The 26,008-nt window shown below is 39.3% G+C and overlaps 1 protein-coding gene across 6 annotated transcripts in view, besides 1 other annotated feature; it reads right to left on the bottom strand.

The window, feature by feature from the left end:
* COMMD1 (copper metabolism domain containing 1) overlaps window positions 1-26,008 on the bottom strand; it is a 247,668-nt gene that overhangs the window by 65,916 nt on the left and 155,744 nt on the right. The gene's annotated exons all lie outside the window — the stretch shown is intronic.
* Window positions 3,916-4,135: an enhancer, noted in NCBI's record as "active region_15845". NCBI's record gives its function as "activates an Ori minimal core promoter by ATAC-STARR-seq in GM12878 lymphoblastoid cells {active_cell/tissue: GM12878}" and the evidence as "EXISTENCE:reporter gene assay evidence [ECO:0000049][PMID:35858748]".

The following is a 26,008-nucleotide window of genomic DNA, read 5'->3' as shown; positions in this document are numbered from 1 at the left end:
AGCCTGAAGGAGGCTTAAGGGATCCCTCCAATTTATAGCCAGTTGGTCAGAAATGAAGATGGCCTGGGACCCCCAACCCCAACTTGCAACAGGCATCTGAAGTGAGGGCAGTCTTTTTGGGAACTGTGCCTCTAACTTGTGGGGTCTATGCTAACTTTTGAGTGGTTAGCATCAGAATTGAAATATTGCAGTATATTCTAAGTCTCTAAGTTGAAGATTTACTGCTATTAACACATTTTGATAGATCTAAATTGTTGATGCCAGAAAGATTTTCAATCTCAAGAATAATCGAGAGCCAACAATTTAGCTTATAGTCTGAATTCAACAGCTTGTATCTCAGCCACAAGTGATAATTTTAGGAAAAGAAGTGCCAAATGTTACACTGAGAAGACAAAAGTCAACTTGGAAATGATCTCTCTCTTCAAGCAAAATAAAAAACTAACATGTAGTCTCCCTTGAAAACTTCTTGTTATAAGCCTGCCAGCCAAGAAATACAACCAGTGAGGGTTTGTCCTTCAGGCCCCAGAAATACGTATTGTTACGTATTTTTGGTCAATTTTAAGTCCTTGCCCTACCCACCACCCACATCAATTCTGTCCCCTTCAATTAATATCCTACCTGAGTTGCTACTCCTAATACTATCTGAGCTCTAATTATTTTAAGTCAAATAAAGTGCCTGGCCCTAATCAATGAAAACTTCTCCTTCTGTCACATTATTTCCTATCAGATTGTTAACTTACTTTGCCTGTCTCACTGAAAATCTTCAAATCTCCCATATTTGCCTCTTTCCTTATTCTACAAAGTCCTAAAACACATAGAATTAACATCATGTTAAAACTTGATGTTGACCAGGCATGGTGGCTCAAGCCTGTAATCCCAACACTTTGAGAGGCCAAGGCAGGAGGATAGCTTGAGCCCAGGAGTTTGAGACCAGCCTGGGAAACACAGTGAGACCTTGTCTCTACAAAACAAAAAAAAAGCCAAAATAAAAAATCTGAAGTTAATATCAGAAAAAGTAAAAATAGAACCAGAATATAAAATATCTGCCTTTGTTATACAAAGCAAAGTTTTCGTAAATCCTCTATATTATAGCTCTAGACAAAACTATTTAATATAGTTGGATTTATTGATTGACAGTGGTATTCTCATTCTCCAAAAAGGTCTTTAGTATCTTTTCACCTATCTTAAGATTATAATACCACTGCTAGGCCTGGTGGCTCACGCCTGTAATCCCAGGACTTTGGGAGGCCGAGGCGGGTGAATCACGAGGTCAGGAGATCGAGACCATTCTGGCTAACATGGTGAAACCCATCTCTACTAAAAAAAATAAAAAATAAAATAAAATAAAAAATCAGCCGGGTGTGCTGGCATGCACCTATAGTACCAGTTACTCAGGAAGGCGAGACAGGAGAATCACTTGAACCCAGGAGACGGAGGTTACAGTGAGCCGAGATCGCGCCACTGCACTCCAGCTTGGGAGACAGAGTGAGACTCGGTCAAAAAAAAAAAAAAAAAAAAAAAAGATTATACTACTACTATCTTTGAAGCCCCTGCACCTTCCTTCCCAATTGCATTCTCCAATCTTATCCTTAGAGGTAACTACTATCCTTGTAGTAACTTTCAGCAGTCATTTTGAACTCCAGCAGAAGTTTTTAATTTTGATGAAGTCTAATTTATTACTTTTCTTTTATGGATCATGTTTTTGGTGTTATATCTAAGAATTCTTTGCCTAACTCCAAATCACAAACATTTTCTGCTTTCTTATTTTGTTCTGCAAAGCACACTGTTAAAAGAATGAAAAGCCAGACACTGGGAGAAAATATCTGGGAGAGGTTTTATAGTTTTATGATCCATTTTGAGTCAATGTTCGTATGTGGTTCAAGGTCTCCTGCTCCCCTCAACACATACAGATGTCTAATTGTCCCAACTCTATTTCTTGAAAGAAATATATCCTTTCCTCGTGGAATCATCTTGGTTGAGAATCAATTGACCAAATATCTGTAGGTCTAGCTCTGGACTCTATATAGTATTATAGTGACCTAGGTATTTATCCTTTCTCAGTTAACTGGGACCACGAACTGAATGGCTTTATCTGGTGGCTACACTGTGATCAGTGTGTTTCTTCATTAGTGGGAATTTGATAGGGTAATCAGCATTCTATAAATAGAAAATGGGATTAACAATTAATAAAAATCAATTCTAGTAAAAGTCCCATCAACAATGACCTTGTCAGGGCACAGAACACTGTACCTCAAAATACGGCACCTTGGCATACTGAGTATTTTAAGCTGAAAGAAACTGTGAAAAGCTTAGAAGCAGAAAGGTCTCTGATCTCTCTCTAGAAGATCCTCAAAGTGACAGGTGTCCTGCCCTATATGCAAAGGAAAGGAATCTTACAGAGAAAGGCCAAGAAGAATCCGAGCAAACAGGCCTTGCTTAGTTACCCTCAGTTTATTACCATAGGATCATATCCCTACTTTTGTCCAATCATACTTCTAAATAACTGTCCATTCTTCATCAAAACTAGGCATAAAAAATAGTTTTCCCTGGGTCTCTGTGTCTTCATTTTTGAAGGCTTCCATGTCATGTAAAACTAATATTAAATAAATTTGCAAGCTTTTCTCTTGTTACTCTGTCTTGTTATGAAGCATCAGCCATAAACTTTTTTCTCCCCTTTAACTTGAAGTCATACAACTCTATGGGGCTTGGGGAAAATAATGTCTAACAACAAAAGAGTGTTAAAGATCAAGTAAGCAAACAGGAAAATACCTAGAATGAACTATACAAATAGAAGATTTGTTCCGATTTTTCATTTAGAAAACTAATTTTAAGTACTTATAAGGACCAAGTTCCGTACTTTTTTCCACATCTAACATTGAAACTTGAACCTAGGATTTTTTTTTTCCTTTTTTTTTTTGAGATGGAGTTTCGCTCTTGCCACCCAGGGTGGAATGCAGTGGCACCATCTCTGCTCACCGCAACCTCCGCCTTCCGGGTTCAAGCGATTCTCCTGCCTCAGCCTCTTTAGTAGCTGGGATTACAGGCATGAGCCACCATGCCCGGCCGGAACCTAGGATTTTAACAATAACAAATAGCCCATCAATCTATATAGATTTGGGCTGGGCACGGTGGCTCAAGCCTGTAATCCCAGCATTTTGGGAGGCCAAGGCGGGCAGATCACATGAGACCAGGAGTTTGTGATCAGCCTGGCCAACATGGTGAAACCCTGTCTCTACTAAAAATACAAAACTTAGCCAGGCATGGTGGTGCACATCTGTAATCCCAACTACTCGGGAGGCTGAGGCACAAGAACTGCTAGAACCCAGGAGGTGGAGGTTGCAGTGAGCCGCAATCCCACCTCTGCACTCCAGCCTGGGTGACAGAGCAAGACTGTGTCTCAAAAACCAAAAAAAAAAATCTATATACATTTGATCTTGCTTTAGGCCAGGCGCGGTGGCTCACACCTGTAATCCCAGCACTTTGGGAGGCCAAGGCGGGCAGATCACGAGGTCAGGAGATGGAGACCATCCTGGCTAACATGGTGAAACCCTGTCTCTACTAAAAATACAAAAAATTAGCCAGGCATGGTGGCAGCCACCTGTAGTCATGAACCTGGGAGGCAGAGCTTGCCGTGAGCCGAGATCGCACCACTGCACTCCAGCCTGGGTGACAGAGCGAGACTCCATCTCAAAAAAAAAAAAAAAAAGATTTGATCTTGCTTTGCATCCCTGATCAGTCATTACAGAAGTGAAGCGGCTGTAGTCAAAATTTCCCCTCATTTTTCCCTGGGAGTTTAGGCATTTTCATTATCACTTTGCCCTCTTCTCCTCCCTCAACCTAAGTATAGGTATCTGAATGCTAAACAAAGATCATTTTAAGGGCTAGAGCACAGTAGTGGGGGAAAAAAAAAGTGGGGTAGGGAGTATCTGTGGGTCATTTTAGGAAATAACGGTAAGATTAGAAATGACAAATAATTCAAGAATCCAGTTGTCCTCTCTCCAATTTTATCTTTCAGAAGAAATAAGGACAAGTACCCTTAGTCAATTCAAATTAAACCCCAGTAATGCCAGTTTCACTGCGTAAAATCAGCCAGATTGAGTGGGAAATTCTAATATACCTCTAGGGTGCTAAGTGGAAAGACCCAATTTCTACACCTGAGTCTGTCTCACACTCCTTCCATTGTGACTAGCTATTTCCCACTCTTATTTCTCTCTTTTTCTCTTATTTTTCTTTCATAGCTTTCAAGATTCTAATTTAACAATTAAACTGCATAACAATTCAAATCATCACAGAGGTTTCCAATTAAATGGTTCCTCCTAAATTACACAGAAACATCTACATTAATTTTTGCTTTGAGGTATAATCTATCAAAAGTTTCACCCTGAAGACTTTTACTAAAAACAAATGAACGATTATAATAAACATCATACCTTCATGATCTAAATGGTACTATTTCTGGTAAAGCATTTGAAATGAAAGCAACAATTAAATTTCCAGTTACCTTTAAAGTAAGTATATATAAGGGCCAGGTGTGGTGGCTCATGCCTGTAATCCCATCAGTTTGGGAGGCTGAGGCAGGGGGATGGCTTGAGCCCAGGAGAGACAATGCTGGGCAACATATGAGACTGTGTCTCTACACACACATAAAAAAAGTAGTCAGGTGTGGTGGTGCATGGCTGTTGTTCCAGCCACTCAGGAGGCTGAGATGGGAGACTTGCTTGAGCCCAGGAGGTCACACCACTGCACTTTAGCCTGGGTAACAGAGCAAGACCCTATCTAAAAAAAAAAAAAAAAAAAAAAAAAAGTAAGTACATATAAAATGTCACTATTGTACTTTACTGAGTCATGGTGACCTGGAGTTATAATTAGTTTTGTTCATATGTTCTGAATCTCTGCAGGCTATTGATAGAATTTCAAGCTTCATCGCCTACTTACCCAGGAAAATATATCATATACATATTTTTGAGAGACAGGGTCTTGCTCTGACACCCAGGCTGGAGTGCAGTGGCACAATCTTGGCTCACCACAGCCTCAACCTCCTGGGCTCAAGCCATTCTCCTGCCTCAGCACCTGTAATCCCACAAGTAGCTGGGATTACAGGTGCTTGCCGCCATGCCCAGCTAATTTTTGTATTTTTTAGTAGAGATGGGGTTTCGCCATGTTGCCCAGGCTGGTCTGGAACTCCTGGATTCAAGCAATCTATCTGCCTCGGCCTCCAAAAATGCTGGAATTACAGGCATGAGCTACTGCACCTGGCACAGCATAGATTTTTATGATGCCAAATATTGATACAAAAAGGCTAAATGGTTTCTAAGAACATGGTACACAAATATTCTTTTTAAAAAACTTTTAAAAATTTAGAAAGGTTAGATAAATAAATACCTCTTTTGAAATAAATGGCTAAACTCACAAAAAAAGCAAGAGGGCCAAGAACAAAGAGGGAGTTGAAAATCAATGGATTTTACTGATTACACAAGACAGAAGACAATACCTGAGGGCTATACAAGCCAGAGAGGGAATTGAGACTTCTGTATGAAACTGTAACCTTCAGAGAGCTTTCTCCTCAGCAAAAGAATGAACAAGTCAAAAATCTACTTAGAAGATAACAAAGAGATCACATGAGCTCTCAATCAAAAATTATAAAACACAGGAATAAAAAAGCTACTATGGACCCGGCATGGTGGCACATGCCTATAATCCCAGCACTTTGGGAGGCCAAGGTGGGTGGATCCCTCGAGGTCAGGCATTCGAGACCAGCCTGGCCAAAATGGTGCAAACCCATCTCTACTAAAAATACAAAAATTAGCCAGGCGTTGTGGCACATACCTGTAATCCCTGCTACTTGGGAAGCTGAAGCAGGAGAATCACTTGAACCCAGGAGGTGGAGGTTGCAGTGAGCTGAGATCACGCCACTGCACTACAGCCTGGCGACAGAGTGAAACTCTGTCTCAAAATAAATAAAAAGTTAAAAAATAAGAATAAAAAATCTACTATGTGTGATAATCAGCAGAAACAAATAACAGCATTTAGACCTGTAAGAACTTTACAAAATGGAATAATCAGATACAGAATAAAAATTATTTTGTTCTATTTTTTGAGACAGGGTCTCACTCTGTCACTCAAGCTGGCATACAGTGGTGTGATCACCACTCACTTCAGCCTCAACCTCCCAGGTTCAAATGATTGTCCTACCTCAGCCTCCTGAGTAGCTAGGATTACAGACATATGCCACCATGCCTGGCTAATATATATATATATATATATATATATATATTTTGTAGAGACAGTGTCACTATGTTGTCCAGTCTGGAAGAATATATTACTTTAAATGACCAGATATGAAAAAAAAGCGAAATAGAATTTCTTGAAATGAAAATATAATCACTATATTGAAGTCTCCAATCTCAAAGAAAAATGCTAAAAAGGCCCACACTGTTTTTGTTTATACAAAAGAGTTTAATTTCTGCATAGAACATTATAGAAACATGCAGGTCAAAAGTACCCAAAAGTAATTTTTTACCGAAAAGTAATTACAGTAGTTAATGTAGCAACGCTACTCTAAGAAATACAGTCCCATGCTCTGGAATTTGTATTTTGATTACACTATAAGAAAATCTGTCTTGTTCACTCATTCACTCATTTAAGAAATATTAAGCCAGGTGCGGTGGCTCACGCCTGTAATCCCAGCACTTTGGGAGGCTGAGGCGGGCGGATCATGAGGTCAGGAGATTAAGACCATCCTGGCTAACAGGGTGAAACCCTGTCTCTACTAAAAATACAAAAAATTAGCCGGGCGTGGTGGCACATGCCTCAACTTCCTGGACTCAAGTGATCCTCCCACCTCAGGCTCCCTAGTAGCTGAGACTACAGGCGTGCACCACCACAACCTGCTAATATTTTCTTTTATTTTATTTTATTTTTATTTTTGAGACGGAGTCCTGCTGTGTCACCAGGCTGGAGTGCAGTGGTGCGATCTCGGCTCACTGCAATCTCCGCCTCCTGGGTTCAAGCGATTCTCCTGCTTCAGCCTCCTGAGTAGCTGGGATTACAGGCACCTGCCACCACACCCAGCTAATTTTTGTATTTTTAGTAGAGATGGGGTTTCACCATGTTAGCCAGGCTGGTCTCGATCTCCTGACCTCATTATCCACCCGCCTCGGCCTCCCAAAGTGCTAGGATTACAGGCATGAGCCACCATGCCTGGCCAGCCTACTAATATTTAAAGTTTTTTTTTTGGTAGAGACAGGGTGTCCCTACGTTGCCCAGGCTGGTCACGAACTCCTGGGCTCAAGCAGTCCTCCTGCCTTGGCCTCCGAAAGTGGTAAGATTACAGGTGTGAGCCACTGTGTCTGGCCTAACATCTGACATTTTATAAAAAGCACCTCCTATAATAGTAATACTATGCAAAGCTATATGGAGATACTGATAAATCTTAAGACATAAATGAACAGAGATTTTTTTTTTATTTTCTTACTAGCAAGTAATGGATTAATTAGCTTTATTTTTTCACTCGTCTCAGGGTTTTTACTGGGTAACAATTTGTAATAAGTTATTTATTAGGCAAAAACCACTGGTCAGGAACTGTATATGCATTTTAAAAAATCCTCAGTATCTAGGCCGGGCATGGTGGCTCACACCTGTAATCCCAGCACTTTGGGAGGCCGAGCTGAGTGGATCACCTGAGGAAAGGAGTTGGCGACCAGCCTGGCCAACATGGTGAAACCCCGTCTCTATTAAAAATACAAAAAATTAGCCAGGCATGGTGGCGTGCACCTGTAATCCCAGCTACTCGGGAGGCTGAGGCAGGAGAATCGCTTGAACCTGGGAGTGGCAGGTTGCAGTGAGCTGAGATCATGCCACTGCACTCCAGCCTGGGCAACAAGAGCGAAACTCCATCTCAAAAAAAAACAAAAAAACAAAAAAAAACCGAAAAACAAAAACAACCACCTCAGTATCCTTAGGAGTTACAATTGGCGTCTTACAGATGAGAAAATCAAGGTTAGAAAGAGTTAATGTCATTTGTCCAGATCATACAGCTACAAACAGTAGGATCAGGATTCAAATCCAGGTCAGTTTGACTCCACAGTCCTTGCTCATTTCACTAGAGCCAGCTATTTAATTTTTATGGTTTTTTTGTTTCTGTTTTTTTTTTTTTTTTGCTGTAACTGTCTATTCACTAATTTCACTTCTTCCCTTGGGTGAAACTGAAATTTATGTAGCACATAGTTCCAACTGCTTTGAAGGAGCTAAATTTAGTATTAATAGACTGACAAACTAAGTTGATACAAGGTTACTGTAGATACTTTAAAAAGACACAACATTTGGGAGGCCAAAGCAGGTGGATCACGAGGTCAGGAGATCGAGACCATCCTATCCTGGCTAACACAGTGAAACCCTGTGTCTACTGAAAATACAAAAAATTAGCCGGGCATGGTGGTGGGCGCCTGTAGTCCCGGCTACTCAGGAGGCTGAGGCAGGAGAATCGCTTGAACCTGGGAGGCAGAGCTTGCAGTGAGCTGAGATCGTGCCACTGCACTCCAGCCTGGGCAACAGAGCTAGATTCCGTCTCAAAAAAAAAAAAAAAAAAAGAAAAGAAAGAAAGACAGCCACACATAAACCCACACTCTGCATATAAACTCTACTGAGATTTCTGGCTGACAAGTAAACTCTGAATGTACAGGACAGATTCTAAGAAGCCCAGATAAAGCTAAAATATGTGAACAGAAGTTTCAGCAGGTACCCACTGAAGGCAAGAGAGGGGCTGGTGTTAGACTCAGTCAAGTTAACTGCCTCCGAACACAAAAAAATCAACATTTCTCAGAGAATCATAACAGAATCCATATATCTACAATGCAGCATTCCCAATGTCCAGTATACAAAACAAAATTATTAGCTATATGAATAAACAGGAAAATATGACACACTCAAAAGAAACAGTTGGAGACCAAACTTGAAATTACCTAGGTGTCGGAATTAGAAGAGAAAGCTACAGTGATAACTATGATTAAGGATGTAAATAAAAAGGATATTTGAAAATTAACACACAGATAGGAAATCTCAAAAGAGAAATAAACTATAAACTAACCAAATTGATATTCTAAAACTAAAAAATATATCTGAGGTAAAAAAGAAAAAATTCCCTAAAAGGTCAAAACAGCAGATTGGAGATGACGGAAGGATCAGTGAACTAAAAGATAAATGGAAAGAAATTATCCAGTTTGAAAAGAGAGAAAAAAAGATTGGGGGAAAAAAACAGAGCCTGAGAAACATATGGGATGCAGTATTAAAAAAATTAACATCTGCATAATTGGATTCTCATAAGAAAAAGGGGAAGAGCAAAAACTGTCTTTTGCTGAAGACAAACAACAAAACTGTTGTTTGGCTGAAACTCCATATTCATCAAAAATATCCATCAAGAATAAAGATGAAATAACAAGATTTTCAGATAAGTGAAAACTAAGCCAACTCCCTGCCCAACATACCTGCACAACAAGAAATGCTAAAGGAAATTCTTCAAACTAATAGGAAACAAAACTAGATGGCAGAACAGATCTTCAGAAAGAAATGAAGATCAGTGGAACGGACAAATATATGGTTAAATATATAAGACTAAGTTTTATTATCTCCTCATCTACTGGAAATACATAGGACTACTTAAAGCAAAAGTTATAATATTGAAATACGGGTTACCACATTAAGAAAAAACCATGACAACTACTGCATAAAAGAAGAGTCATAAACAGAATTCTGTGGTTGTATAATTCCTGAAATTTAAATGAAATGGTATTGTTTTATTTATTTATTTATTTTTGGAGACAGCATCTCACTCTGTCACCCAGGCTAGAATGCAGTGGTATGATCTCAGCTCACTGCAGCCTCAACCTCCCAGGCTCAAGGGATCCTCCCACCTCAGCCTCCCAAGTAGCTGGGACTACAGGTGTGTGCCACCACAACCAGCTAATGTTTCTGTATTTTTCATAGAGACAGGGTTTCACCATGTTGCCTAAGCCGGTCTGGAACTCCTGAGCTCAGGCAATCCACCCACCTCAGCCTCCCAAAGTGCTGGGATTACAGGCATGAGCCACCGCCCCAGGCAAAAGGGTGAGACGTTAAGAATGTATATTGTAATCTCTAGTGCAATCCTAAAGAAAGATGTAGCTAAAAACCCAAGAGAGAAATTAAAATGGAATTCCCCCCCCAAAATTCATTAAGCTGTAAGAAGTAAAAAAGGATAAACAGGAATAAAAACAGAAAGCAAAATAGTAGATCTAAATCCAACCATGTCAACATACTAAACACAAATGGAGTAAGCACTTTAAAAGCAACACTGAACTATCTACAATAGATGCACTTCAAATACAAAGACAGGTTGGAAACTAGTTGGAAAAAGACATTTGATGAAAACAGTAAGTATAAAAAGGCTAGCTTGTGTCTATAGTCCTAGCTACTGGGGTGGCTGAGGCAGGAAGCTCTCTTGAGCCCAGGAGTTCAAGGCTGTAGTGGGTTATAATCACACCTGTGAATAGCCACTGCACTCCAGCCAGGCAACTTAGCTCCTTTTGAAAAGCTTCTTATGGCGTAATGTTTAAGGGGGAAAAAATGGGGAGAGGCTATATTATTTTCAGTTATAGACTCCAAGATAGAGTATTACCAGAAATAAAGACTGACATTTCATAATGATACAACAGGACAGGCATAGTGGCTCATGACTGTAAACCCAGCACCTTGGGAGGCCAAGGTGGGAGGATCGCTTGAGTCCAGAAGTTGGAGACCAGCCTGGGCAACATAGTGAGACAAAAAACAAAAAAATTTTTTTTTAAATTAGCCAGGTGCCATGGCTTGCACTTGTGGTCCCAGCTACTAGGGAGGCTGAGGTGGGAGGATCACTTAGCCCAGGAGGTAGAGGCTGCAGTGAGCTGTGATCACACTACTGCACTCCTGTTAGGTGACAAAGCAAGACCTTGTCTCCAAAAAAAAATAATAAAACAGATAACTTATCAGAAAAACATAATCAGAAATGTATATATGTCTGATATAAAGCTTCAACCTTAAGAAGAAAATTTGTGGCCAGGTGCGGTGGCTCACGCCTGCAATCCCAACACTTTGGGAGGATAAGGTGGGTGGATCACGAGGTCAGGAGTTCGAGACCGGCCTGACTAACATGGAGAAACCCCGTCTCTACTAAAAATACAAAATTAGCTGGGCATGGCAGCACATGCCTGTAATCCCAGCTACTCGGGAGGCTGAGGCAGGAGAATCGCTTGAATCCGGGAGGCAGAGGTTGAGGTGAACTGAGATTGCGCCATTGCACTCCAGCCTGGACAAAAAGAGCAAAACTCCATCTCAAAAAAAAACAGAAAGAAAGAAAATGTGTTGTTATTTAATACCTCCCACCTTTTTTTTTTGAGACAGGGTTTTGCTCTCTCACCTAGGCTGAGTGTAGTAGCACGATAATGGCTCACTGCAGCCTTGACCTTCCAGGCCCAAGCAATCCTCTTACCTCAGCCTCTCAAGTAGCTGGGACCACACGAGTGCACCATCATGCCTGGCTATGTTGCCCAGGCTGGTCTCAAACTCCTGGGCTCAAGCAATCCTCCCACCTCAGCCTCCCAGTGCTGCAATTACAGGTATAAGCCACCATGCCTGGTCTTAAGAAGAAAATTTGAAGGCTGAAGTGAGAGGACTGTGTGAGTGCAGGAGTTTGAGACTAGCCTAGGCAACACAGTGAGACCCTTGTCTCAAAACAAAACAAAACGAAGAAAATTTGAGAGAATTAAAGGGAGAAACAGATTTTTTAAAAATCTCTAACTATGATTGTGAACTAACATCCTTCTCACAGTAACTGAAATAATAAATAGATGAAAAAAGAATCAGTATGGACATAGATCATGTGAACAGCACTATTAACCAACTTAATCTAATTGACATTTGTAAATACTACACTAACAACTTCACAAAATATATTCTTTTCAAGTGTGCATGGTCTATTCACCAATACAGATCAAATGCTAAATCAGAAGGTAAGTCTCAATAAATCTCAAAAGATTTATTGTAAACTTATATAGAGTATGTTCTCTGAGCATAATGAAATTAAATCAGAAACCATCAGTAAGATACCTAGAAGAGCCCCAAGTATTTGGAAATTTAACGTAATATTTTAAAATAAACCATGCTCAAATGCCACATGCAGGGTTTGGAAAAAAAATAAAAATAAAAACAAAATAAACCATGGGTCAAGAAGAAACCATGAAATTAATTAGAAAATATTTTGGACTGAGTGGGGTGGCTCAAACCTGTAATCCCAGCACTTTGGGAGACCAAGGTGGGAGGATCGCCTGAGCCCAGGAGTTTGAGACCAGTCTGGGCAACATAGGGAGAATGTGCCTCTACAGAGAAAAAAAAAAAATTAGCCAGGTATGGTGGTGCATGCCTGTAATCCCAGCTACTCGGGAGGCTGAAGCAGGAGGATAGCTCAAACCCAGGAGTTGAGGCCACTGCACTCTAGCCTGGGCAACAGAGTAAGACTCTATCTCTAAAAAAACTTAAATATAAATAAAAATAAATAAAATATTTTGAACTGAATGACGAAATGCAACACATCAAAATTTTTGTGCTAAATTTTAAAACAGTACTCAAAGAGAAAAGCTTTAAACAAAATTCTTCATAAACACACAATCTTAATAGAACATTAGCAAATCAAATCCATTAATATATCAAAAAGATTATAAATCTTGAGCTAATAGGGTTTATCCCAGGAATGCAAGGTAGTTTAATATTATAACATCACACACACACAGATATATGCACATATATATGGATATTACATTATCGTTTTTGGCTATGAGATTATATACATAATCCAGGTCAGTGGTCCCCAACCTTTTTGGCACCAGGGACTGGTTTCAGGATGATTCAAGTGCATTACATTTATTGTGTACTTTATTTCTATTATTATCACACTGTAATATATAATGAAATAATTACACAACTCACCATAATGCATAATCAGTGGGAGCCCTGAACTTGTTTTCCTGCAACTAGATGGTCCCATTTAGTTGCAGGATTGGGGGTGGTGGGAGACAGTGATACTCGAAGTGTGTTGCTTATGTCCAGTCTACTCTGTAACAATCTTGTTTTGGTTGCTGTCACTGCAGAAAACGCTGCTTCACAAAGAATGTTGGAAACGGAAGGCTTTTGAGTGCATTTGTGGCAATCTCAGAATATTCCACCTTGACTTTAACCCAGAATGTATGGAGATTTGAAGTTGCCTCAAACATACTTTCAAGGCCTCCGTCATTTGTGATGTCAAGCAGTTAATCCTCTTCTAGCATGGACAAAGTCGATTCCACTGGCTTATTCACAAATGGGTGGTAGATCCATTCCTTCCCAACTCATGGGTCTTTTGTGGTTGGAAAGTAATGCTCAAACTCTTTTGAAAGCTGAGATTGGTGATCATGCACCAGCTGGGAGAAAGAAGGCCTTGGCTCAATCCCTCTCAAAATCTCTGCAAATGTTTGAAACATGTCAGAAATCCTAATGTTCACTCATCGCCCCCATAATTCCAGTTTGGCTTTGAACGCAGCCACTTTATCTGCCGACTTAAACACAGTCGTCATTCTCCTCTGAAGTGACAGATTGAGTTCGCTGAACAGGTTGAATATGTCACACAAGCAAGTTTTGCCACCCATTCTGTGTCACTGAAATGTGCTGCCAGTGGTGACTGTTTTTCTAAAAGAAATCTCTGGAGTGGCTCTCATAACTCAAAAACTCTGGCCAGCAATGGACCTTTAGAAAGCCACTTCACTTCTGTGCATAAGAGAAGATGTGTGTGCTCTGCATCTATCTCCTCACAGAGCTGTGTGAACATGTAAAAGCATGTACTTAAATGTGGATGCTAATTTTAATCACATCCTGCAAAATGTTAAGTTCAGGTGACATTTTTCAGCTAGCTAGCCTTTCTCTATGGATGACACAGTACATAGACTCACATTCAGAAGCAAACTCTTTGACCCAAGTAGTGAAATCAGAAAGCTGTCCAGTCATGGCAGCCACTCTGTCTGTGCATATACTGACACAAAATGACCAATTCCGTTTTCCTGATATGTAATCATTCAAAGACTTGAATAGTTCTGCAGCTATGGTGTTGGTTGGCAACAAAAGTGCACATAACACATCCTCATGCACATCCTCCTGAAAAATACAGTGCACAAAAACAAGCATTGTTGCCTTGTCAACACCAGTAGACTCATCAACCTGGACTGCGTGCCACAGTGACTCATTAATGCTCTCTATCAATTGTGCCTCAATATCCTCTATTCAATCAATTCAACTACTTATGGTGCTAGCTGAGAGGAACACGTTCCACCTTCTGAACTGTGTCCTCTCCTGAAGGTTCAAAACAAATGTCCTTAGGATCAACTCTTACCAATAGTAAAGGGCTTCTTAGCTTTAGCAATGTGGTTAGCTACTAAGAATGATGCTCTCAATGCAGACACATTTGAAGTGGTGGCCTTCAATAATTGCTTCTGTTCTTTGTATTCACATTTTCTTCTTTTGAAAAACTCCAAAGGCTTGTCTTTTAATGCAGGGTGCTTGGTCTCCATGTGGCAAAGCAGTTTTGAAGGTTTCATGGCTTCAATGGATAGCCGGTCGCCACATATACAAAGTGGGCTTGGAGAATGTGAATCACTGGTTGCAATGAACCTGTAATTTAAGTAGAACTCTTGGTATTTTCTTTTCAATGCAGCTTTCTTTTTTGCTGGCAGTCTTAGAGTCTTCTGCTGTCTCATCATTGGGTCTTTCCCCCTTTTCAAATAAACTCTTCCTTTTTACTTATTTTGGCTAGGGTTAGCTTGTGGGCTAACAAAACTGTCAGTGAGACAAGTGCACAGTGCAGGAAAAGAGGCCCAGATGGAAGTGGTAAATAGTGGGCAGGCCATGCGCAGGCTAAAATAAAGCCCGACTTAAAGCTTCCCACCAGATGCAGCTCACTTGCCACTATAAAGCCTGCCACCAGATGCAGCTTAATTGTCACTTGCCACTCACTGATAGGGTTTTGATATGAGTATGCAAGCAACTGATTATGGTCTCTGTGCAAACTTCTCTGCCAATGTTAATCTGTATTTGTAGCCGCTCCCCAGTGCTAGTAGCATCACCATCTCAGCTCCACCTCAGATCATCAGGCATTAGGTTCTCCTAAGGAGTGTGCAACCTAGATCCCTTGCATGCACAGTTCACAATAGGGTTTGTGCTCCTATGAGCTATTTTTTTCCTTTTTATTTGTACCAATTTATGAAGTACATGTGCAATTTTGTTATATACATAGATTGCATAGAGGTCAAGTCACGGCTTTTAGGGTATCCATCACCCAAATAAGGTAAATTGTACCCACTAACCAATTTCAGATCATCCTCCCCTCCTCCACTGCGACTTCCTTTCCCTTCCAGGTCTCCATTATCTATCCACCTCTCTACATTCACCTGAACACATTTTTTTCAGCACCTATTTATGAGTGAGAACATGTGCTACTTGTCTTTCTGTGCCTGGCTTGTTTCACTTAATGACCTCCAGTTCTTGCTGCAAATGACCATTAGTCAGCTGTCCCTGACATGATTTCATTCTTCTTTCTGGCTTAAATAGTATCCAATTGTATATATGTACTACATTTTCTTTATCCATTTATCTATTGGTGCACACTTAGATTGATTCCATATCCTTGCTATTATGAATGGTGCTGTGATAAACATACGAGTAGAGGTACTTTTTTTATATGCTGACTTCTTTTCTGGCGGTTAGATACCCAGTAGTGGCACTGCTGGGTCAAATGGTAGTTCCATTTTTAGTTCTTTGAGATAACTTCATACTATCTTGGCATTATCTCCAAGGATGTGCTAATTTACATTCTTACCAACAGTGCTCAAGAGTCCCTTGCCAACATCTGCTATTTTTTGTCTTTGTAGTAATAGGCACTCTGACTGGGGTAAGATGATATCTCATTGTGGTTTCGATTTGCATTTCTCTGATAATTAGTAATGTTCAGCATTTTTTTCATATACCTGTTGGCCATTTATATGTCTTCTTTTGAAAAATGTCTATTCATGTCCTTTGCCCACTTTTTAGTAGGATTATTTGGATCTTGTTGTTGAGCTGTTTAAGTTCTTTGTGTATTTTTGATGTTAGACCCCTATTGGATGAATACTTTGCAAATATTTTCTTCCATTCAACAGGTTGTCTCTTTACTCTGTGGGTTATTTCTTTCGCTGTGCAGAAAGTTTAAGTTCCATTTGTCTATTTTTGGGGCTGTTTCCAGGCCTCATTTTAAATTGACAAAAACAAAATGAAACATTCAGCCATATGTAAATACTCCATGTACCTATACCAACTGTAATACATCATGCACAAAAGCCCTTCTTCTCTGGGGTAACTGGTGTGACATCAATGTGGTATTCTATGGCCACTGATCCTTAGAATTTGGCCAAATGTGTTTCCAGATGTTCTGCTGGATGATTATCGTCAATTCAATCATTACAGTCATCCCTAAAATCTCACTGCTGAGGTAAGTCAGCCCTAATTTTGAGCTCATCTGAACACCTCAGAAGAAGGAACTGGCTCTCTTCATTCTTTTTTCTTACAGTTCTAACCTTAGACCTCAGCTCATTAGCCTCAAAAACATATGTAGATCAGTCAAAGTTGAGAAGTAATATTGTTTCTTCTATCCACTAAGAAAGCAAGGTGGAAGTATTGCCCTATTTTTTTTTCATTGCACAAAACCCTATTAATAAAAATTTGACACTAAAAAAACCCCACAAATAAATACGACGAGTACCTCCAAAAATATATGAGCAAATTATTTCCTATTAGTTGGTCTTGGTCTTCATTTATTTTCCAGAGACCCCAATTTCTTAAAGTTCCAAGTTCTGTTTCTATGGATAGTATCCTGCTCCTACACTCATCTTCCTCTCATTATTTTGTGACTCACATTTTAATACTCTGATGTATTCAAAGGGTGAGATAGGCATCAGAATTACAAAAAGTATGAGAATGATACTTTTTGTTTTCTGTTTTTGAGACAGGATCTCTCTGTCACCTAGGCTGGAGTGCAGTGGTGTGATCACAGCTCACTGCAGCCTCAACCTCCTGGGCTCAGTGAAGGCTGAAGTGATCTTCCCACTTCAGCCTCCCGAGTAGCTGGGACTACAGGTGCATGCCACCACACCCAGTTAACTTTTGTACTTTTGGTAGAGACGGAGTTTTGTCATGTTGCCCAGGCTGGTCTCTAGGGCTCAAGAGATTCACCCACCTTAACCTCCCAAAGTGATGGGATTATAGGCGTGAGCCACCACATCCAGGCCAAGAATGATATTTTTTTGATCAGCGTGGGTTTTATACTTAGGACTCTGAAGACTGGAAGAATTTTCCATAAACATGACCACTAGTTAGCTGTCCCTTTGGCCCAAATGATAAAAAACTGCAGTGATTAGTGAAAAAATAAACTCTGTAGTGGTATATGGAAATTCAAAAAGAGAAGAGAGATTATGTGAATATGTTAACAAATAGCTCATGTCAGGAGATATGTACCTTTACCTTTTCTTCTTTGAACCTTCCTGCATCCTATTACCTGATGTGTGATGTGGATATAATGGTGTCTTGGGCTACAAGGACAAGGATCATACCCAAGCAACAATGGAATAATCTGATGGAAAAGTCTAGGACCCTGAAGATACGTGGGACAGAGCCTATCTCCGGACTTTTACATAAAAGAGAAATAAACTTCCTCTATTTTTCTTTTAATTTTAATCTATTTATTTATTTATTTAAATACCAGGTTATAAGACTGGCTAATTTTTGTATTTTTGGTAGAAACAGGGTTTCACCATGTTGCCAAGGCTGGTCTCGAACTCCTGGGGTCAAGCAATCCACCAGTGTCAGCTTCCCAAAGTGCTGGGATTACAGGCATGAGCCACCGTGCTGGGCCAATTTCTATCTTTTTAAAGCCTGTGTTAATTTGGCTCTCTATTATTTGCAGCTGAACTTAATCCCAACTGATACAATAGGTAAGGAGCAACAGGATGGTTAAGAGATTCCTTTTGAGTGAGCTGTAGAGTCATCTCATTGAAGAAGACTGAAAGAGTGGATGGTAATTCTCTGAGAAAGGAGATGAGGAACTTTTTATTACTATTCTTCCAATATAATGTGGCATGTCTGAAGAGCCATTTGTATAAAGAGTGAACTCAGCTTAGTAAATGAGCTAAGTCCTTGGCATAGTCACCGAATGCTAATAGTTGCTATAAAGCCTAATCACATTGGTAACTGTACAGAATACATGAGCTTACTAAACCATTAACATGCTTTACTGAACATACAGCTTTTAAAACCTTTGGACTATTTACAGTGTTGCTTTCAATCAATTCCAGGAGGTCCCAATGGAACCGATTATGATATAACTATAGGAAACTTAAAAATTCATTCCTGAAAGAGTCAGACCTAAGAAAATCCAGAAAACAATCACTCAGCAGTGCAACAGGGCTAACTAACCAATGGGATACATTATGTAATCTACCTCAGAAATTTGTCAAATTAAAGAAACTATCAAGAGGCTTGAAAGAGTAGTATCAGAAGACAAAGACCAAAGATGAGGAGAAGAAAGTTTGTCATCAGTCACTGACCTTTCAGATTGACAATTAAGATGCATATATGAAAAAATATTAGTTTTCAGAACAGCAATAACATTTCTTACAACTTTATAAAATGACTCTACAATTTTTCTTTAAACACGATGCTTTCTACAAATTATGAGTTGAGATTAAAGAACTATGTATGGTTTACTGAACCCTCAGAGATCTCAGATGGCTTATAAGTTACATGGAGTTTTAAAATAATAATAGTAACCCCTCCAGAGTGTAAGTTAATTTCTTGTCAGTCTAGAAGCCTATCATGAAATATACTGAGCCTATCTAAGGTGAGCAGGTAAATAAATAAAATATAATTAAATAAAATATAGGTAAATAAGCTGCATTAAAAGCATAGAGCAAAGGGTAATTTTCTCTAACAATCTGTAAACTTCTTTATAGTCTTCTCATTAGAGGGCATTTCTGAACTAATACAAGTAAATGGAAAATAAGATTCATAATAACAATTTCACCTACAGATTTTAAGTACCTGTACATATCAAGGTAAACTTGTACTTTAACCACATATTTGTCAAAAAGCTGCCAATTTTAAGGAAGAAAAGGGGTTCTGTTTGTTTCTGTTTTTGTTTTTGATTCACAAGTCCTGATCTTCTGAAAAGGTATTTCTTTAAGAAAAAAAAAGTTCATGTTCTTCGACTAGGTCAAGTTTCAGAACATCAGTCACGCATCTTCAAGGAGAAACAAAATCAAATTTAAAGGGACAGACTTTTCTCATTTTAGTTTTCCCAGTGATGAGAAATATATTTTTAACTACCACATGACATAAGTCAGCTTACAAAATGAAGTTTCTACAGCAAGGCATGTGATCCTTGATCTCTCTCAGCAAGCCTCTTCCTTAAAGGAGTAAAAAATTCTTTCCTGAAAAGAATTATTCAAGGCTGAATAACAAAACATAGTAGCAGAGAAGACAAGTGAGAAAACTATAAAGGAGAATGTTTTTCTTCCCTTTTTCCCTAACAAAAGCAAATGAAAAGTTGTATAATGCATACAGTGTTTTAAGAACATTTTTAATTGGCGCTTAGGATAAAATAACTGAAAGATACACAAAATACTAGCAACTTCATTGAGATGGCAGACATTATTAGTACTAGAGATTTCTATTCTGTTTTTCAAATTTTCTCCAACATTAGTTATGTCACTTTTATAATTAAAAAATGAAATTACAAATAAATAAAAAGCCAGAAAGTCTTTTAAAAATTATTGTCTTCTTTTTGGTTAAAGTGATACTTAAAGCATACTTATTTTTGCAATGATCTAATGCTTCATCTGGACTTGCCACCCAGAAGCTTCATAAAAAGGCATACTCTCAGACCTCCCCTCAGACGTATGGAATCAGTAGCTTATATTTTAATTAAGATTCCCAGGTGTTTCATCTGCATGTTAAAGCCAGTGAAGCGCTGTTATAGAGATTCATCCAGAAATACCTATCTTGATTACTTTCTAAGTCCTTCCTGTATGTCAGTCCAAACTGATCATGTTTTTTTGATTTATCTGTCAGATATATTCATGCAATTACAGTAAAACTGACAACAGATAATAATAACAATATATTAATCATATCACTAAATTTAGGGCATTTTTTCTTTTAAAAGCAGAGTTCCAACTTCCAACCTTAGCCATTATCCCCTACTACATTAATCACTCCATTGAAATGGACCAAAAGCAGAATATAAATTCAGTATACCAGAGGAACTTTTAATAAAGTCTGAAACCTACTAATGAGGAAACACTAGAACCATAAGATGGTACGATATTGCAGTACTGGAATACCTGAGTAAGTGCTGCCTCTACCTTATAAAGGCCTGTTCAGCAATATTAACTTTTCAGTTACTTTGAAATGTTCACCTAGGGCAGAGTTTCTCAACCATGGTAAGACTGACATTTTGAGCTGGAAAATTCTTTGTTGTGGGGCTGTCCTGTGCATTAGGGGAGGTTTAGCAGCATCCCTGTCCTCTATCCACTAGATATCAGTAGCATGCCCCGAGGTGAAACAACCAAAGATGTCTCCAGACATTGCCAAATGTCCCCTGGGGGACAATCCCTCCTCCCAAACCCCCAGGATAATCCACTCATCTAATAAAAGAACAACTATCTGAAAGGGGGCCTGCCAATATATGTCAATAATCTTATTTGGGATTTTCCCAAAAAGAGACATCTAAGAGCATAGCTGAGTTTTTAAAATTATACACACATTTGTGGGATTCCTTTTGAAAGCTCCAGGAGAGCAAGGGCTAGGTCTTTTTTTTTTTTTTCCTGGTAATTATATTCTCAGAAATTTCTGGTCCATGATAAGCTTCTGGGTTAAAATATGTAGATACCATATCCTTAGTATTGGGCAATTAATTATTATTCAATTTTCTGGTTAAACTTGCATTTCTATTGCATGTAATGTGATTTCTTAAATGTATTTCCCTCACCCATTTTAACTAGAAAAATACTCTACTAGTTCAATAACATCTAAAAATTATTAAGACTATGATGTGACCAGTAACCACTATATCCAAATCAATTAGGACTCTTGTAACAGGAGGCACAGTAAAGGGAAGAAGGGATACTTTATGAAAAGTAGAGGTGCTGTCACCTGTATATGTCCAGGTTGCTCTCTCTTTGCTTATTTTTCAGAACTCACCCCAAGGCCTCATGCTCTAAGAAATGTTTTCCAAATACTCAAGACAAGTAGTTTTAAAACCTTTTTCCAAGGCCAGGGACTTACTTTCAAAATCTGATGATATGAATGCCAATTATACATCAATTAAAAAAAAAAACGAGAAAAAAATCTGCTGAAAACTATGAACGTTCTAGAAACACACACGTATAAACTTTACCATACAATTTGAGGGAGTTTGTAAACCCCCTAAAATCTCTCAATGAACAATGGTCACCTCATTCTTGCATGACCATTAATATTTTACTGTCCATAGTCCATAGCATAACATTTAGCAATTCAAGTACTGAAATTTAGTTCCTGGCCAGCACGGTGGCTCATGCCTGTAATCCCAGCACTTTGGGAGGGCGAGGCGGGCGGATCACGAGGTCAGGAGATCAAGACTATCCTGACAAACACAGTGAAACCCCGTCTCTACTAAAAAAAATACAAAAAAATATTAGCCGGGTGTGGTGGCGGGCGCCTATAGTCCCAGCTACTCTGAAGGCTGAGGCAGGAGAATGGCGTGAACCCAGGAGGCGGAGGTTGCAGTGAGCCGAGATCGCGCCACTGCACTCCAGCCTGGGCGACAGAGCGAGACTCCATCTCAAAAAAAAAAAAAAAAAAGAAATTTAGTTCCTCATTCACATCAACTTAAAAATCATGTGGCTTCTAGTCTGTCAACTGGGCAGCTTGGATGGTGACTCCAAGACTCTCTTGAAACAGAATACAGTCATGTGTCACTTGCAGGTACACATTCTGAGAAATCATTTGTTAAGCAATTTTATTGTTATGTTAACATCATAGAGTGTATTTACACAAACCTAGATGGTATAGCCTACTATACACCTAAGCTACATGGTATGGCCTATTGCTCCTAGGGTATAAACCTGTACAGCATGTTACTGTACTGAACACTTTGAGCAACTATAGCACAATGGTAAGTATTTTATGTATCTAAACATAGAAAAGGTATAATACAGTATAAAAATACAAAAAATATACAGTGTAAAAATACAGTATAAAAAGATTTTGAAATGGTAAAAGGGCATTTACCGGCCAGGCGAAGTGGCTCACACCTGTAATCCCAGCACCTTGGGAGGCCGAGGCAAGTGGATCACGAGGTCAGGAGTTCGAGACCAGCCTGGCCAACACAGTGAAACCCCATCTCTCCTAAAAATACAAAAATTAGCCCAGTGTGGTGGCACACAGCTGTAGTCCCAGCTACTCAGGAGGCTGAGGCAGGAAAATCATTTGAACCCAGGAGGCGGAGGTTGCAGTGAGCCAAGACCTCACCATTGTACTCCAGCCTAAAGACTCCGTCTCAAAAAAAAAAAGAAAGGAAGAAAGAAAGAAAAGAAAGGGCAGTTACCATAAATGGAGCTTGCAGGACTGGAGGATGCTCAGGTGAGTCTGTCAGTGGTCCGTGAACGTGAAGGCCTAGGACATTACTGTATACTACTGTAGAATTTATAAATATTCTACACTTAGACTACACTAAATAAAGTAATTGTACTATGACATTACAACAGCTACAATGTCACTAGGCAGTGAGAATTTTTCAACTCCATTACAGTCTTATGGGACCAGCATCATATATGCAGTCTGTCATTGACTAAAAGATCATTATGGGATACATGACTGTGTATGAGAAAAGTGCTCATAAATTGTAAAGTACTAGCAATATGCAGACTTAAGGTATGTTCTTCATTTCTGTCTTCCCAACCAGATTGTAAGGGACTCGGGGGTAGGGACCACGTAACTCTCCTGAATACTTTTTGGTATCTGGCAAAACAAATAAATGTTTCTTAATGTCTTCTTCCTCAAGCAAGGAACTCTGGCTCGTGTCTGCAGTTTGGGGTGGTGGTAGGAATAACCACCACTACTTTGCATCCAAAGATACCGGAGAGAAACCAAACATTTTATTTGCTTCACAAGAACTTCATTTGCTTAGTCTTATCTTTGTAAATCATGTATTAGTTCACCTACTCCAATGCTGTAGCTATTGCAGAGAGTGAAACAACTGAATAATGTGACTGCTTTATAAATCACAAACTGGAGAGAGAAAAAAGAAATGCATCTGTTCTTTCCTCAAAACTGCCATCTGCTAAATTCTCTGAATCATCTTGTCAAAATTCATTGAAGGAAAATAAACTGTGTTCAGAAGATCAAGACAATATAGTAGGCATAAGGATTCATAAGGTCTTCTCTTTACTTCTTCAATGAATGCTTCATCGTACGTTCTACTCTAATTTTAATTTTCAGGCAGAAAATAGTAGTATATAATGAACACCATGATGTACACAAATCCCAATTCTCTTACAAGTCATAGGGCTCTGGATAAATTCTACCCATCTCAAGTCATGATTTCATGAACTCTTTTGTTTGACTAGTCACATTTACCTTGACTTTTAGTTACTTAGCACTTTTGTTCACACTATCATAAAATTTTATTGGTCAGAATTACACATACAAACACCTGTCTTATCCATAGCCAGACCAAATTCTTTACTTTTCTGTACCTTTATAGCATAGAACTATTTTTAGCACTTGCTGAAGGATAGTTAGAATAAAGTTATATGACTTAACCAGGACTCGATTTCTTTATCTGTAAAAACTATACTAATAATCTTGAAACCACCTTTGCAAAATTATGACAGTAAGGGAAATCTGACAGAGTTGACTCCATCTTGCTTCTGACCTCCAAGCTGTCCTTGGTCATTCCTGGACATAGGCCAAGCTGACATTGGGAGGAATTTATAATTTAACCTGAGGCCAGGAGCAGTGGCTCATGCCTGGAATCCCAGCACTTTGGGAGGCCAAGACAGGCAGATCACCTGAGATGAGGAGTTTGAGACCAGCCTGGCCAACATGGTGAAACCCCGTCTCTACTGAAAATACAAAAATTAGCCAGGCATGGTGGTGGTCACTGGTAATCCCAGCTACTCGGGAGGCTGAGGCAGGAGAATTGCTTGAACCAGGAGGCAGAGGTTGCAGTGGGCCGAGATGGCGCCACTGCACTCCAGCCTGGGAGACAGAGCAAGACTCTGTCTCAAAAAAAAAAAAAAAAAAAAAAAAATTAACTTGAAAGTAAAGATGATAATAGGAGGCCAGATTTGGTGGCTCACACCTGCAATGCCAGCACTTTGGGAGGCTGAGGCAGGCAGATCCCTTGAGGTCGGGAGTTTGAGACCAGCCTGGCCAACATAGTGAAACCCTGTCTCTACTAAAAATACAAAAAAAAAAAAAAGAAGAAGGAAAGTAAGCATGATAATAGTCCCTCTCTAAAACGAATCCCCACCTTGCTCAGGGACCAAAAACCGCCTTTGTAAGACTAATCAAAGGCCACAAGAATAGGATTATGGGAGGGGCCTGAACTCTGCTAAGATATAGGTATAGTTTCTATAAATCTTTACTGCTCAGCAGCCATGTGGCTGGAGGTCACAAGATTTACAACTTCCCCAAGTGCTCCTACAGATAACATCACTACTATACAATCTAAGATTAATTTTTTAAAGATGTTTTTCAGATCTACCCCACCCAGACCTGTGATTCATGGCTCAACTGGTCCTGTGGCTCCACCAGAGACAGACTCAGCACGTAAGGACAGTTTTTCCACACCCCTGTGATTTCATCCCTAACCAATCAGCAGCACCCATTCCCTAGCCCCCATCCACCAAACTGTCCATAAAAACCCTAACCTGCAGGCCTTTGGGGAGACTGACTTGAGTGATAACTCTGGTTTTCCCACATGGCCAGCCTCATGTCAATTAAACCCTTTCCCTACTGCAATGCCATGATCTCAGTGAATTGATTTTTGTCTGTGCAGCAGGCAGGGAAGAACCCATCGGGCAATTACAATCTTAGTTCCCCAATGTCTGTAACACAGATCAAATTAATAAAACTATGATGATAGAAGCTCTTTGATAGTTTATTCAGGAAGAAAACAGGTCTTTTTTTTTTTTTTTTTTTAAGTTAGGAGCTTGCTCCTTGAAGATTCTACATACAAATGATCAGAATCTCATTCTCACCTGTTTCTTTGGTAGGTGAAGGGAGAAGGAATGGAATGCATCCCATTAATGTAACTTTTCAATTTTCTTTGACACTGGCTGCTAGCCCACAATGTTAGGTTCACCTTTTCAGAAAACAAATGTAAAAAAAGAAACACTAATCCCAATCCTTAAATCTATTCTGCAAAGATGCCAGGAAGACAAATAAGCTACTTATAAAAGCAGGAAGCTTTTTTGGAGGAAAGGCACTATAAAAGCAAAATATATTAAAGAACTATTTTCAACCATTCTAAATTCTGTGCCTAACTTCCAGCTTAAATTGGTAGCTTAAAAAACAGAGGTCAACACAGAAATCAGTAAAAGGATCAAGGCAGAACACAGAATACACAAACAGCAAATGCAAGAGATAAACCAGGAGGCAGATTAGGTTATCAGACATAACATAAAGATCTCTCCTTGAAAATGACATCTCTCTTCTAACCTAATGTTACGAAGACTAACTGAGCAGAATGAAGAGTTGTTAAACAGCCACAAATTTAAGTAAATCTGCAAAGTAAAATCTAGTCTTGGTTAATCATAATGAAGAAAAAGAATAAACAAATTGATTATAAATTGGCTGCCAAAGTTTGCAAGGGTTTTGGAATTCAATTACTGACATATTTAAC

This window comes from Homo sapiens, chromosome 2, assembly GCF_000001405.40.
Source record: "Homo sapiens chromosome 2, GRCh38.p14 Primary Assembly".
Classification (NCBI taxonomy): Eukaryota; Metazoa; Chordata; class Mammalia; order Primates; family Hominidae; genus Homo; species Homo sapiens.
The sequence above is the reverse complement of the archived record's forward strand: the minus strand, read 5'-3'. Positions and strand labels throughout refer to the sequence as shown.